The 16808-nt window shown below is 35.6% G+C and overlaps 1 protein-coding gene across 9 annotated transcripts in view; it reads left to right on the top strand.

Annotated features, from left to right (window-relative positions):
- Nucleotides 1-16808, top strand: part of INTS6 (integrator complex subunit 6) — a 118632-nt gene that overhangs the window by 45962 nt on the left and 55862 nt on the right. For 8 of the 9 annotated variants that reach the window (XR_007063673.1, XR_007063676.1, XR_007063675.1 and 5 more), the window contains one exon: nucleotides 11592-11775. The exons of the other annotated variant lie outside the window; for it this stretch is intronic. Coding sequence is in view for 4 of the 8 variants with exons in the window: in XM_011535040.4 (XP_011533342.1) it covers nucleotides 11592-11775 (184 nt within the window). In the remaining 4 variants the exon portion in view is untranslated. The remainder of the gene's footprint in view (nucleotides 1-11591; nucleotides 11776-16808) is intronic. 9 annotated transcript variants of the gene reach the window in all.

Here is a 16808-nt window from a genome sequence, read left to right as displayed (position 1 = left end):
AAAGGAATATATTTTGAGAATGAAGAACTGAAAGAAGGCTACTGTGGCTTAGACACAGGGGTGTCCAATCTTTTGGCTTCCCAGGGGCACATTGGAAGGAAGAACAATTGTCTTGGGCCACACATAAAATACACTAACACTAATGATAGCTGATGAGCTAAAAAAAAAAAAAAAATCACAAAAAAATCTCATAATGTTTTAAGAAAGTTTACAAATTTGTGTTGGGCCACATTCAAAACCATACTGGGCTACATGCAGCCTGTGGACCACGGGTTGGACAAGCTTGGCTTAGAGCATAAAAGAAGAGGGATCGTAGTACAAGATGGAAAAGAAGGTTGGACTTGACCATACAGGGGGCTTCCAGACCATGCTGAGTAATATTATTAATATAAAAGCAATAAGAAGCCATCCAAGGGTTTTATTTAGAGGTAGGGGGTGGAGGAGAGGGAGATAAAAGTGGTCTCCGTTGGAGCATTGTTGTTTAGTCTTGACAATAGCTTGGTCAAGGAGGTTGGTGATGGCAGAAGAGTTTCAGTTTCAAGAGATACTTAGGAGGTTAAATCAGTAAAACCTGCTGACATATAATGCAGTTGGGGGTGTAAGAAACAGGGAGGAGGTGACGTAAGAAACAGGGAGGAGGTGGTTATCCATTATTCGATAAATGATGCCATTTTACTGAGTTAGGGAATATTGGAAGAGGACCATTTTGGGTAGAGGAAAATCTTAAGTTCAGTTTTGAACATGTTTAGTTTGACATACCCTTTGAGCCATTCAGGGGGGTGTGTCATGAGGCAGAATATTTGGTGCTCAGAGAGAGATAGAGGCTCAAAATACAGTTTTTATTATTTGATTATTGATAGGAATTGAAGCTGTGAGTAGTAGGGTTGGGGGTTGAGACTATACATTGGGCAAGACCTAAGACTGATTCTTGCGGATCTGCAGCACTTACTAGTTAGGTATTGGAGATTGTGTCTAGGTTAGGGGTGAGGATGGAAGGCAGTAGCAGCCAGAGGAGAGAAGGAAAACCATGAAAATATTTCAGCATGAAAGCCAAAGGAAGATTCCTTTCAAAAGACTGGGAAGTAGTTTTGAATGCTGCTTGGAAGCCAGATTTGAAAATCTCCAATGGATTTAATGACTCAAGGAGAGATCTGCTGCTGTGTAACAAGTCATCCCAAAACTTAGTGACTTAAAACAACAGTTTATTATTTCTTAAGAATTTGTGAGTTTGTTACATAAGCCCCAGGCTTATCCAGGACTGGAACGTACAAGATGGTCTTATTTATATGTCTGGGGCTTTGGTGCTGCCAGTTTTCTGGGGGACCTTGCTTCTCATCTCTGTGGCTTCTGTCTCCATCATTTAGTAGCATAATTCAAGCTTTTTTACATGGTAGCCAGCTTCCATGGAAGTGGAAATAAGGCTGCTAGGCCTAGTAAGACTTAGACTCTGAATACCTTTGAGTGCTTCGGAGTACTGTGCCATCTACCAGAGTAACCAAGCCAAAACAAAACAAAAACCCATTGATGACTTAGTGTAAGAGTTGTTTATGAAAAAAAAATTAACAGTAGGGAAATCCAAGAATTGATAGGCTAAGTATAACTCCAAAAGACAGATACATTGAGAGGACTGGGGAACGAAGAAAATTTCCTAATTATTCCTCTGCATTTTCTTTAAGCTTGACCTCAACTGGGCTGCTGATTTCCTGAACACTTCCTCTTTCTTTCCTCATGTACTCCTTTTCCCTGGACGTTATTTCTCTATCTCCCTATATTAAAATCCAACCCATCCTTAAAGGATTAAAGGCTTTCTTAAAAATCTTTCTCTCCTCCTTTGCACTGTATTCTCCACCAGTTCTGAAGTTTAATTTAGTTTTCATCCCAGTATTTATTATTATTATTTCTTGTCTCCTATGTGTTTGATCATGATCTTCACTCTTCATTACTCCCTAACTTGCATGAGGTTCTGGATTCTCAGTAAACTTATTATTCTTCACACTTGCTCAGATGCTACTTCCTCTGAGAAGTCTTCCCTGGTTTGTCCCCTAATCATTTATTCTTTTGTACTTTATGCATATTTTTATTGTTGTACATATCATAACACATAATTGTTTACTTACATGTTTTTGAAAGTAGAAGATTACAATGTGTAATGTGTTGCCTTTCATTAAATAAATCCTGAGTTATAGCTTGATTTCTGATCCCTATTTTAATTTTTTTTAAAAGTCCCCACATGTTGACAATAAAATGTGTATATTTATCATGACCTAATTATTTCTTTGATACTGTGCTGAGTTCATTGGTACTAGGCCACTGCAGTAAACGGTAAAGAAAAGTTATGATTTGGTATATGAAGTTAAAAATTACAAGAAATAATATATGGTCAAGTTTTTTATATCTCTTAATAAGGCAAGAATGAATATATGAGGTTATGTTTCATGTGGGCCTCAGTGGAAGTATGTACATATGTAAATTCTCAGTATACATCTTATACATTGAGCTGGATGGAGTGTTTGTTATGGTGCCAGCTTATGGAATATGTGTTTTTCCACACCTTGTTCAAGGTGTCAGGTAGGCTTTGCAGCTCATGTGTTTGTATTCTCTATGTATGGGCACGTACAAGGGCCATAGAGATGAACTGGTTACACACACAGGGAAAGAATAAGACTTCCAGCTCTTGGAGATAAGACTGGTTCTGTGACTCGTGACTTACATTAGCATGGAAACTTTGTATCTATGTGTGTTGGGGTGGAGGGAGCACAGTTTTGTTTTTTTTTTTTTTTTAGTTTTTGCTTGTTTGTTTTGTGATGGAGTCTCCCTCTGTCACTCAGGCAGGAGTGCAGTGGTGCTATCATGACTCACTGCAATCTCAACCTCCTGGGCTCAAGCTATCCCCCTGCTGCAGCCTCCCAACTAGCTGGGACTGCAGGTGTGCATCACCACGCCTGGGTTGTCTCTCTCTCTCTCTCTCTCTGTGTGTGTGTGTGTGTGTGTGTGTGTGTGTGTGTGTGTGTATTTGTAGAGATAGGATCTCACTATGTTGCCCAGGCTGGTCTCTAACTCCTGGCCTCATGCAATCCTGCCTGCCTCAGCCTCCCAAAGTGCTAGGATGACAGGTGTGAACCACCACATCTGGCCAGGAGCACAATTTTTATTGGCAGGACACTGAGAGGTGCTTGTGATCTGATTATAACTCTAGCTTTGCATCTCTTTTACTTTGCTTAGACCGCATGAGTGGAACCTCATTTATTATTTCATATGACAAATACTGTGGGGGAAACAAAAGAATCAGATCCTTCTCCTTTCCCTTTTCCAAACTCGTGGGATAGGCTGCGAAGTAAATAGGTCATTAAAACTTAAGTGGGAAGCATGATTATGAGAATACATATAATTTGAATTACTTTGATAATAGAACCAGTTGGCAGAACTTCCAAGTTCAAGAAAGGGGAAATCTTTTTCTTTTTTTTTTTTTCTTTTTTTTTTCTTTTTTTTTTTTGAAATGGAGTCTCACTCTGTCCCCCAGGCTGGAGTGCAGTGGTGCGATCTGGGCTCACTGCAACCTCCACCTCCTGGGTTCAAGCGATTCTTCTGCCTCAGCCTTCTGAGTAGCTGGGACTACGGGCACGTGCCACCACGCCCGGATAATTTTTTGTATTTTTAGTAGAGATGGGGTTTCACTGTGTTAGCCAGAATGGTCTCGATCTGCTGACCTCGTGATCCGTGACCTTGGGCTCCCAAAGTGCTGGGATTACAGGTGTGAGCCACCACACCCAGCTAAGGGGAAATCTTGTGTTGGTACAGATCAGTCCTGACTCATGGTGGGCTCAGGTTTGATCCTCATCCAGCCAATTAGGTTGTATGCTAGGAGACATCTGTTTAGATTCCTGAGTTGAAGATGTTTTAAAAATAAACTTCTTTTATCTTTTTTTACTGTTTGTTGGTTTCTATTTTTTACATTCTACAGTTTAAAAAATAAGTAATAATGTATGAGAATTTTGGTTATCTGAGATTTTATAATAGCTTTTCTTACAATGAGCTAGCTAAAAGGTGATCTCAAATCTTGTTTATTTGGCGTAGTTTATCTACATTAAATCCTGAAATCGTGCTGTGTTTATGGTAGGTGCTCCATGAATAACTAAATAATTAAAATTTAAGTTGAGCTTTAGTCTAATTTTAGAAAAGTCACAAAGAGGAAATTGCACTTTTATAAGTACATAAAATTGAGCATACCTGGTGATAACTGTCACCTGCCTAATCTGCCATTTGTTTTTCAGACCAATGGAGAAGTAGGTTTTATTCTTTTTCTTTTGGTAAGAAGTTGAAGATGGACTCAAAGGTGAAGGGGCAGTAAAGTCTCCAAGGGAAGCTAGGAAAAATAGGACAGTCTTCCCAAATTTAAATTGAAGTTGCATTTCCTTTTCTGTTGGCTACGAAGATGATGACGTAAGATATTTGGGTTGGCGATATTACTAAAATTAATCATTTAAAATAACAATATGGAAAACCTCACTTGTATTCAAGCAAAAAATAAACTGAATGTAAACAATAATTTTCTCTGCTTATTAGTCCATTAGACTGAAACTTTGCCCAGTATAATTTTATAAGATTCTAATAAAGGCCCACAATATCATGGTTATGGGAAAATTACTATATTATTGAATCACACATGGTTTATTCAGTTCTTAAAATTGCAGTCCTCCCTCCCTAGATGTTCCAGACTTGATGATATAGCATGGGTTACTTGAGTGTGTTCTCCAAACAGATGTCTCCTAACATACAATCTTATATTACAGTTCATCTCTGAAAAGGGGATAATAATAGTATCTATCCCATTTGCTTGTTGTAAATACTGTATGTAAAGCTCATGGAATGGTGCTTGGCACACAGTAAGTGTTCAGAATATGCTAGCTATTGTTGTTTATTGTTATTGCCCATGTTTTAAGAAATGGAAGGGAAAAGCAAGAGGGAGAAAAATATATTGCCACTCCTTTGTATGAAGAGTAACTAGGGGAAAAGCATAGGACCGTGCATTATAAAAATAACCTACAGTGTTTATAAGATGTATTAATTAAGGACTTAAAATCACTAGATTGATACAGAAATTAATTTAAATTTTTTTTCTAAAAGTAGTTATTTTTATAATTAAGGTTTTCTTTTTTCATTGAATACAATTAGTTTTTTTAATATTAATTCAACATTTGATTTTTTAAAAATGCAGATTATATTTCCACTCCTGGTTAGGCAGTATAATACAGTGTTTAAGAGCACAGTGTTTAAGAGCCAGACTTACCTGGGTTTGAATTCTGTCTCCTCACCACTTACTGTGTACCTTCAGACAAGTCCTGAAGCTCTCTGTTTGTTGTTTGTAAATGAGGACTATAATAGTGCCTATCTCATATGTTTATTTTGTGGGTTAAATGAATTAATATATATAACGGGTTTAGAATAACTTGCGCCTTCTAATAGTAACCACTATAAAAGTATTATTGTTATTAATGGCTATATTTTTTAAAGCATCATTAGTTCAGACACTTCCATTTGAATACTCATACTAGAGTTTCTTGGGATTAACTCTCAGAAAACAGCTCTTATGAAACTCTTATCCCATCCAGTGTTCAGAAATAAAAATCCTATTAAATATCTTGTTAGCTAGTACTGTGATTCTCAGTTTTCTTCTTTCTGTTAAATACAGCTCTGAAACAGATTCCTTCAGGAACATGATCCTTCTGTTTAGAACTCTTAAAGTACTGGGTGTATTTTATTATTTATCTTTAAATCCTCAGAGCCTAAACATACCTAATATTTGGTAGGTACATAAAAAATGATGAGTGAATGCATATATAGTTTTCAGGAAGTAGTCTACCTTCTTGCAGTGTATTTTAATGGCTGATCAAGAATAACTCTTTGTTAGGGGTCCTTACAAATGTCTGAGCTTTGGAGTTAGTAATTACTGTACTTAATCTTTCTCTTGTTCAGTTGAGGCATATAGGAAGTTTTCTTGTCTTTGGTTTTGTATAAAATAATGACATTATTGGAAAAGAGGTACAGATAACTACTTGAATAATTTACTGGCTTTTGACAATTATCTTCATATTAATATGTTTCAGTACTTTGGATAAGAATAAGGAATATAAAAGTTTCTGCCATATTTGCCTTGTTCTTTTTGTTTTGGATTTTAAAAAATTTAATAAGTGAAACAGAACATTGCAGATTGATAGTGTGTAGTCTCCCTTGTTCCCCTACTCAGTGTCACTTTCCTCCCTCTTTCCCTTCCCGTAATCAACAATTGCAAATTTGATTTATAGTCATTTAGTCCACATTTTCTTATTTTTACTACACATATCTAAAACTATTCTAAACATTGTTTACTTTTAACAATGTGTAGAGATGCTATTCTGTGCATCATTTTGCATCTTGCCTTTTTTTCCTTCCATGTAATACTGTTTTTGACACAGAAATAGACTACCACGTGTACAGTCACCCGATATAAGAAAGAGGTGACATTCTAGTGCAGCATAGAAAGGATGGCCTGTATCAATTGGATATCCATTTGGGAAAAAAAATGTATCTTTGCCCCTATTTTGGACCATACTCCAAACTCAATTTCAGATGTATTTCAGGTTTGATTTTAAGTGGGAAAATAATAAGCTTTTAGAAGAAAACATGGGAGAGCATCTTCATTATCTATGAGGAAACAAAAAGCACTAACTGTGAAAGGAAAAATATATTTAGATAACTTCTGTTTATCAAAAGATACCACTAAAATAATGGAAGAGGTAACAGAGTAGAAGATATTTGCAATACTATAATGTATCCAATAAAGCAGCTGTCCCCAACCTTTTTGGCACCAGGGACTGGTTTCCTGGAAGAAAGACAGTTCTTCTGTGGACATGGGTGGGTATGGTTTTGGAATGAAACTGTTCCACCTCAGATTATCAGGCATTATTTAGATTCTCAAATAAGGAGCGCACAACCTAGATTCCTTGCATGTGCAGTTCACAATAGGGTTCATGCTCCTATGAGAATCTAATGCCACTGCTGATCTGACAGGAGGTGGAGCTCAGGCAGTAATGCTTGCTTGCCCACTGCTCACTTCCTGCTGTGTGGCCCCATTCCTTAACAGGCCACAGACTTGGGGATCCCTGCAATAAAAGACATCTGGAATAGATTAACAATCCTCCAAATCAATAAGAGAAAGCTAGACAACCCAATTAAAAATAATAAGCAGAAGACTTTAATAGTCACTTCACAAAAGAGCACGTTGAAATGGCCAATAAGCGTATGAAAAGGTATTCCACTTCCATAAACATCAGGGAAATTAAAACCCCACCCCACTACACACACGCACACACACGCACACACACACACACCCACAATGGCTAACATGAAAAAGACAGCCAAAACTAAGTGTTGATGAAGGAGATACAGAGCAACTGGTTCTGTTATACGCTGCTAGTAGGAGTATAAATTGGTATAACCACTTTGGAAAACTGGCAGTATCTGATGAAAGTAAACATATTCATATCCAGCAATTCCACAACTAGGTATATACTCAACAGAAATGCATACATATATTTTCCACAAATACATGTACTGTAATTTCATAGTTACACTATTCATAACATACCCAAACAATTCAAAAGGATAATTACGGAGTTTGAGGCCAGACTGGTGAAGATCCCTTCTCTACAAAATATTAAAAAGTGAGCTGAGTGTGGTGGCACGTGCCTGTAGTCCTACCTACTTGGGAGGCTGAGGCAGGAAGATCTCTTGAGTCTAGGAGTTTGAGGGTGCAGTGAACTATGACCATGTGACTGCATTCCAGCCTGGGTGACAGAACAAGAGCTTGTCTCTAAAAAATAAAACTAATTATGATATACAGATAAACAATATGGCAATAGGAATGAACGATCTACCATTGTATGTAGCAGTATAGGTGATTCTTACCTTTACAATGATGAAAGAAGCCATAAACCAAAGAGACAATACTCCATTTTTATAAAGTTCAAAATCAGGCAAAACTAGTCAGTTGGGGAGGGGCATAAGTTAGTAAAGTTATCTTTCTTGATACAAATTTTAGTTACACAAAGGCATTCAACTTGTGAAAATTTGTTAGGCTGTGCTTTCTGGATATATGTTCTTATATGTATGTATGTTATATTACCCAAAAAACATTGTTTTGAGATCTATCCATGTTGGATGTTAAGAGTTCTAGTTTATTCATTTCAGATGTGGTGTGTGAACAGACTGCAGCTTATTTATTGATTCCCTTATTGGACTTCTAAATTGTTTCCCGTTTTCCTCTGTTTCAAATAATGCTGTAGTCAATTGCTTTTTTTTTTTTTTTTAAACATCTTATACAAATAATATGAGAGTTCTTCTAGGAGTTGGCATTGTTGAGTTTTAGGGTATGCTCATGTTTAGCTTTATCAGATACTATCCAATTGTTCTCCAAATGGTAGTATAATTATAGGCTCACCAGAAGTATTGGAGAGTTCCTATTGCTTTATATTCTTGTCATCACTTGGTATTGTCAAATTTAAAAAATTTTTGCTAATCTTATTGTGAAATGATATCAATATTTTAATTTGTGTTATCTGTTAACTAGTGTATTTCATCATCTTCCTACATGTTTATAGGTCATATGGATTTCCTTTTAGGTATCCTTATCTATTGCCCATTTTTTGCTTTTGGGAATTGTCTATTTTTATTGCATATTTTTCTAGTGACTAACTTTATATTTTTCTTCATTTATGTGCAATTTTCCTTGATTCTCAAAGTCCATATATTCAGGAAGACCTCCCCACCCCCTTTGATTTTTAAGACATTACTGGAATTTCACCTGTAAACTTTAAACCTGGAGTAAGTCAATCCTCCTGAGATTTTTCCTTCAGATTTTAATCTTTTTCCTGTTTCTATTTGCCTGCCATTACTCCTTATTTTACTAATTCATTTAAACTATAGCGGATTTTCCCCTTTTTTGGTTTTGGGAGGTTGGTGGTGATTTGCAGAGGGAGAAATGAGAAGCAATAGAAAAATAAATAAAAATTTGCCTAAAGTTTATAAAATTGATATAGCTATGTGTAAAATGCTTAGAATATGCTTGTGAACCTTGCTGGGGTTTTTTTTTTACATTTGAAATTCATTCTAGATTCAGCATTGTACAGCCAAAGGCCATTTATTTCATTTTATATTGTCTGCGTTGCAGATGCTCATCATTACATGATTAGTTTGTGTGTGTGCATGTGTGTGTGTGTGTGTGGTCCGCGCAGTGCCTGTTTTCCCCCACATTCTCAAGACAGTTCCATGTATCTATCCATTATTCTGCAAAGCAACTGCATTAACAGTTGAAACTTCACGCAGTACCACTGGTGCTTTGACATTTTTGTGATATTAGAGAGAAAATGACCAAGTACTTGGTAGCTGTGTTTCCCAAATACTTTAAAGGTGGTTTAAAGGGTAAAAGGAGATGATGTAAGTAGTGCTTGCTTATTTATCTTCTGTCAGGGTGTGGTAATAGCAGCAAGGGCCTGGAGCTCCTGAGCTGTTTACAATTGTCACAGAGCCTGTGAGGCTGGGAAACCTTCCTCGAGAATATGCTGGCCCAGATTTCTTCAGCATTCCTTCTCTGTTGCTTCTGCCTTCTGCCTTACGTGCCAGAGAAAGAACTCATGACTTCTGTCCAGAGTCACAAAATCTTGGCTGATCTTGATGAAGGAGTCTTGCAGCATATTCTCATGGCATGAATCTTTTGAAGAGAGGTGCCAGTATAACATAGCTTCACTAGGAAAACTCTTCCTAGAATAGAATTGGATTTCTTTTTTTAATGGTTTGATGTAAGTCAATGAAGAAACTTGAGTCTATTTTAGTGTAGAATGACTTCAACCCCCATCAAGTTTGGAAGTCTTCTCTGTGTGAGATTTAGAAAGGCTGTACACAATACAATTAGGTCTTGCTTTGTGAAGAAATTAGTATAAAAAATGACAATTAATTTAGAAGTGATCATTTTAAAGCATGTTTTGTATAAAAATATACTCCAGTATTTGTAGAAAAAAGCCCTAAACTGAGTCTTGATTTTATTTTTAAAAAATTTGTAAGTGGTAAGGATTTTGGTTTTCCTAAGCACCATATACTTAAATACCATTATCACACTTAAAAGAGTATTAACAATTCCAGTAATATAATCTTGAAATTTCCTGATTGTCTCAAAAATCTTCGCTTTTGCCTCTTTTATAACAGTTTTAACTCTTCAGATTCCCTTCCCTTTGCTTTTTTATGCCACTGATTTATTGGAGAAACCAGGTCATTTGTCCTGTATAATGTTCCACATTCTGGATTTGACTGATTGCTCTCTTGTGCTGGTGTTTAACTTGATCCTATATCCCCACTATTCCCTGCAAACTGGTAGTTAGAACCGAAGGCTTGATTCAATTCAGGTCGAATCTTTTCTTTCTTCCTCTTTTTTTTGGTAAGAATCCTTTATAGTTGATGTTGTGGTATTGCATCATGTCATGAGAAACATAGTGTCTGGTCATCCTCATTGAGTGATACTGAGATGAATATGTGGATTCTGTTTGTACACTGTTACTCTGTTGGTATAGAAGGGCCCATTATAGTCATTTAAAACTTTTTAAGATGCTTAAGAATCTCAGAAAAGATTCTAACTTAGCAGGTGTAAGGGAAGAAACATCTATTATTAATAAAACATGCAACACATACAAAAACCCCCAAACCTCTCTACATTTACTCAGATGTGGTAAGAATCACTACATTTAAAATGTAATTAGAGTGACAAAAATTTACTCTTCTACAAATGCTTTGAGATTGTTTATCTTATATAAAATGAAGCATATTTTAAAATATTAAGAGCTGTAAAGATGTTTGAGATTGCTGTGGTGTAATAAAAAAGTACTGACTCTGGACACAGGAGGCCAAATCATTTTTTTGAGGTCTATTTTTTTTTACATTTAGAAAATAATAAGACCGGGCATGGTGGCTCACACCTGTAATCCAGCACTTTGAGAGGCCGAGGCGTGTGGGTCACCTGAGATCGGGAGTTTGAGACCATCCTGGTCAACATGGCAAAACTCTGTCTCTACTAAAAATACAAAAATTAGCTGGGCGTGGTGTTGCGTACCTGTAATCCCAGCTACTCGGGAGGCTGAGGCAGGAGAATTGCTTGAACCCAGGAGGCAGAGGTTGCAATGAGCCAAGATCGTGCCTCTGCACTGCAACCTCAAAAAGAAAAGAAAAGAAAAGAAAAATAACATATCTATCACAGGGTTGTTTTAATGATTAAATGAAATTATTTATTTGGAAGCAATTCAGCACCCAGTAATTAATTGAGTCTAAATCTGAAATTCATTCCAACAATACAGATTTTTTTCAGTCTATATCTTCAAAGTAAGTTTAAGAAAATTAAACAGTATCATGTGCTGTTTTAGCTATGTCTGAACAAGTAAGCTTTTATATTTGAGCTTGTTTTTCAAGTGATAGGAGAGTTGATGCAGTTCTAACGTAAGTGTAATTAAAGTAGGCTTTTTGAAAAAATAGTCTGTGGAATTCTTATTACTGTTTTTCCCCCCTACTTTCAGCTTCATTTACCTCTTAATTCTCCTTTGCCTGGAAGTGAATTGACCAAGGAACCTTTTCGTTGGGATCAGAGACTCTTTGCATTAGTGTTGCGGTTGCCTGGCACCATGTCAGTAGAATCAGAACAGTTGACAGGTGTGCCTTTAGATGACTCTGCAATCACACCAATGTGTGAAGTGACAGGCGGTAAGTTTTTTGCTGGCAGTAATTTGGTAACTTAAAGCAGATTTTATCTGAATGTTTTAAAAGTGTACATTCAAAAGCTCCATGTTTGTTTTTATTTCACAAGTTAATATTAGGAATTAGGCATATATGCTTTTAATAGTACATTTATTGCTAATGGTCTATGATCTTCATTTGAATAGAATGTGGGTTACTATTGGACATGACAAGGAATGGTAATATTTTTTCTACTTGTATAGAAAATGCTATTATTTGAAGTTGTTAAACTAATTTTCTTATCTACAAAGATTGCCAATGATTTAGAAGTACCATAGCATTATTTTTTGCAAAAACAGTCTTGAGAATCATCTCTGTGTATTTGATGAGGTATGCTTGGTTAAGTGCAATTTTTCCCAGAGGCAAAGAGATTGATAGATTAAAGGAAACAGATAGTGAGGTCTTATCCAGCTTCTGTTTCACTTATACATCAGATTAGGTAGGTACTATGCCAAGTGAACATCAAGGAAAATCTTGAAATACAATATGTAATCAACTCAGAACTCATTTAATATAGAATTGGCTAACAGGTGGATTAATTTCATATAGGTATGTATTGCGTGCCTACTGTGTACCAAGTATCGTTCCATGCTTTTGGCATTCAGTAGTCAGTACAGACACGGCATTTTTGGTTTCATGGAGCATTTCAGTTCTCACCTGAGAATTGTATTAAAATAATTTTAATATCAAATTCTGTATTTGATATTAAAATGTGCAAGTCTAGCATTCCACTATTTTACTTATGATAAGGGCCTGTGACATAATCTGCAGACACAGTTGGTGCGCTAATGAGATTCGTCATAGCCAGCTACATAAGAGAAAATGTAAGTTCTAATTAATATTTTAGGTGCATTTTTTCTAAAATTCTATGGATTTTGGAAATCTGCAAAATTCACAGACAAAAAGGGATTAACCTTACACAGGTGTGTGAAATAGATAGAAAGCTGTTATTCATGTCATTAAATGCTTTCATTTTATAGAAATGCTTTTTGTGAACTTTCGTAATGCCTTCACAATTTAATTAACAAAGGGTAAAAAAGGCATATATGTAATTTTTTTTAGGGATAACCTGTCATCTACATTTGAAAATTAATGAACAATTCTCGTTACATAGATAATATTTTTCAGTGACAGTCGTATTTTTTTCTGTGGGAGGGTGCACATTTATATTCATGAAATTTTAGTTTCCAGCTTTGAACTGGCACCCTTGTTAAAAATTCTGATTTTTTTTTTTTTTTAAACTCTGGGGATTTTACTTAACAGGTTCTGAAAGGCTTGGAGGCTATAACATTCTCACATTGGAAATTCCTTACTAGGAATTACTTAGTTTGAACTTAGAATGATGATGAACTTTTGGGACTTAAATATACTATAACTTTTGTCACTAGGATCAGGAATATTCAGAGTGTGAAGTCAAGTGAGTGGTGTAATCAAAGAGTCTGAAAAGAACCATGAGACATCATGTAGCAGTCTTGCCTTTAGGCAGTAATGTATTAAAGCTACTTTGCTTATTCTTTGAAAGGAACATCTCTAGAGAAGTTCCAAAGTCATCCTTGGTGATATCTTTCAATGATGCAGAAATCTTAGTCAAGAAATTAGGAAGTCTTCCCTAAATATACATTCTGAATCCTTCCTGATGTGATAGTTTATTTGCCCCTTTTCATGCTCTTACTAGCAATAAGAGTAAGCCGCTCAAATGTCACTCATCTTTTCATATCTCTGAATAATGTGTTTCCTTTCTTTTTTAATTTAAAGGATGTTCACTAAACAAAGTTTTGGGGAACACCAGAAAAGTAGAAAGAACAAAAAAGATAATACCCACTGGTATTGCACTATCCAAATATGTAATCACTGCTAACAATTCCTGTGCATTTTTAAAACTTAAGGTTGGCCGGGCGCGGTGGCTCATGCCTGTAATCCCAGCACTTTCGAAGGCCAAGGTGGGCGGATTACCTGAGGTCAGGAGTTTGAGACCAGCCTGGCCAACATGGTGAAACCCCGTCTCTACTAAAAATACAAAAATTAGCTGGGCGTGATGGCACACGCCTGTAATCCCAGCTGTTCGGGAGGCTGAGGCAGGAGAATTGCTTGAGCGCAGGAGGTGGAAGTTGCAGTGAGCTGAGATCGTACCACTGCACTCCAGCCTGGCTGACAGAGAGAGACTCTGTCTCACAAAAAAAAAAAAAAAAAAATTTAGTTGTTTATGTGTGTATTTGTGTACATTTATTTTTCCCATTATGGAGTAATTCATGTTCACTAAGGAAATGTTGGAAAAAATTCATCTGTATTGCCAAAATAATAATATATTTCTTTCTATGTATTTTTTTAATTGCATAATTGTAGTCATTGTAAGCATTTTTCTTTTGATATCAGGTAATTAATGAGTGCCCACTCTATGCCAAATAACTGTTACTGGGTGTTGGGAGTACAGCAGGAACAATAGAAAGCTTATGTCTTTGTACTGAGTGACAGATAATAATCATGGAAAATAAATAAATGATATTTTATAGTAGTACTACCTACTACTATTGTAGTAGATAGTAGGGTGCTACCTACTATGAAGACAAAACAGAGTAAGGGAGTGGAGACTAACTTAAGGCAGAGAAAGCATATTCTACCTAAGTTTTCGTCTGAGGAGGTAACATTTAAGCAGAGACCTGAATAATGGAGTTAATTACACAAATATCTAGGCAGAGGAAATGGCAAGGAAAGGGACATGCTCTCTATATATTTGGAAGCAACAGGAAGGCTAGCATGGCTGGAGCTTACATAGGGAGGAATAGAGTAATAGCTAGGTTTAGAGAGGTAGGCAGGGGCCAAATATTGAATGGCTCTTTAGGCTACAATAAATATTTTTTGAGGAAATGGCAAGGAAAGGGACATGCTCTCTATATGTTTGGAAGCAACAGGAAGGCTGGCATGGCTGGAGCTTACATAGCGGGGAATAGAGTAATAGCTAGGTTTAGAGGGTAGGCAGAGGCCAAATATTGAATGGCTCTTTAGGCTACAATAAATATATTTTTATATTCCAAGTATGATGTGAAGCCTTTTGAAGGCTTTTTACGGGAGGTGACGTCTGATTTCTATTTCTGAAATACCACTTCACCTGTTAGATGAGAATATAGAGTGGCAAGAATGAAAGCAGGAAGACTAGTAGTAGTACTTTGTTCTATGCTAGCTTTGGAGGTCCTGAGAGGTGGCTTAATGCAAAAGAGAACCAAGGATGAGGACAATAAGGGAAGAAGCAATCCAGGATGGTTCCCAGATGATTCAGTTGGTCCGAACCACTAGAGATGGATGGCTGTGCCAAGGACTGAGATGGTACACTGGGGAGAAGCAGGTTTAGGGGAGGTGCAAGGATGATAGCAAATTTTAAAATGTGTAATAGACATGTTGTTAAATATATCAAGAATTTTTTAAGTATTTTATAAAAATTATAGATATTTCTAGATTAAATACATTTAACTTTCTTAGCCTCTGTAAGGACTATTGACCAACTTAGAAATGTTCATTTGCTTCTTCTCTATTTGACAAAGATGCTAATACTGCCTTTAGACTCACTATATTTAGTTTGACTTTTTTGTGGACTCTACATAACCCAAAGTGAGACAGCTTCTTGACTTGAAGGTGTGTGCTAATAAAACTTTTTTCACAAATACAAGTAGTGATCCTAGAAACTTTATGCATTAGCACAAAGTGTTGTATATCCCAAGGAGTAAGTTTTGACATAGACAATAAGTACACATGAGGAACATTACGGAGGATATAGGCTCACTTTGTAAAGAAAGCAAAATTTGCTATTTCTGTTTAACTTTTAAAATAATTAATAGATTTTTATTACCAAATGACTCATTTTATTCTTTTTCTCCAATTTTTGTAAAATATACTGATTAGTAATTTTATTTCGTGTTAAGATTGATTTGCTTATGTTTTCTTAATTGATGACACAACTTAGGAGAGCAAGATAATTGTCATAGTTTATATACTTTAAAATTTTTGCTTTTTAATGACATCTTAGGAATATGCTTAAATTTCATGAAATAAGATACTCAACCTTTATGTAAACTTCTAATATTTTGCATGTAAAGATGGTTAGCCTTTTTATGGATTGCTTTTTGTATATACTTAAATTGACTTAGAAAAAAATTTGAATTTACCAATTCTTTCAAGTAAGCATGACTTCATATAGATGCTGTATTTTAAGTACTGATTTCAAATTCACAGAGGATTTCCAAGGGACAAAGGATATCCAGAATAGTTTCTGATACACTGTAAGGGTTTGAATTGTAACTCTATCACTATACTAACTTGGAAAAGTTAGTTAGCCTCTCTGTGCCTTAGTGTTCTCATTTGTAAAATGGGGAAAATAACCCATACAATTGTTGCTGAGATTAAAGAAATTAATAATCATAAAATGATTGGAACAGTGCCAGGCACGTAGATACTCAGTAATTGGTAGATATTTGTTAAGGTTATAATCATCATTATTTTATACAGTTAAGTTGTTGTATTTATTTTTTCTAAGTAAAGCTGACTTTGAGGATTTGAATCACCATTGTCTATAATGTTCTCTTTTCTGAGTAGCCTTTAACAAATCACGTTAAGTGTAAGTTGATATAAGTAATTTGATGTGTCAAATGTAATGATGTAGCTTGTGTTGTGAAATAATTGGTTGAATGTGTAAAAGAGTAGGGCATCATATTGAGCTTATTACAAATAATGTTGCAAAATATTTGGCCAAAGATTGAGTTTTAGCTGTCAAGGTTTTTAGTGTTGGTCTGGATCAGAACTGTATAATAGAAATCTGATTCAAATTTCATATGTAATAAAAAATTTCATAGTAGCCACTTTAAAAATTAAAAATAGATGAAATTAATTTTAATAATATATTTTATTTAAATCAATATATCCTTATTACTTCAGTGTGAGATTGATATTTTAAAATTACTAATGAGATGTTTTATATTTTTTCATACTAAGTCAACAAAATCAGGTGTATA

The sequence above is a fragment of the Homo sapiens genome, chromosome 13 (assembly GCF_000001405.40).
Source record: "Homo sapiens chromosome 13, GRCh38.p14 Primary Assembly".
Taxonomy (NCBI): domain Eukaryota; kingdom Metazoa; phylum Chordata; class Mammalia; order Primates; family Hominidae; genus Homo; species Homo sapiens.
The sequence above is the reverse complement of the archived record's forward strand: the minus strand, read 5'-3'. Positions and strand labels throughout refer to the sequence as shown.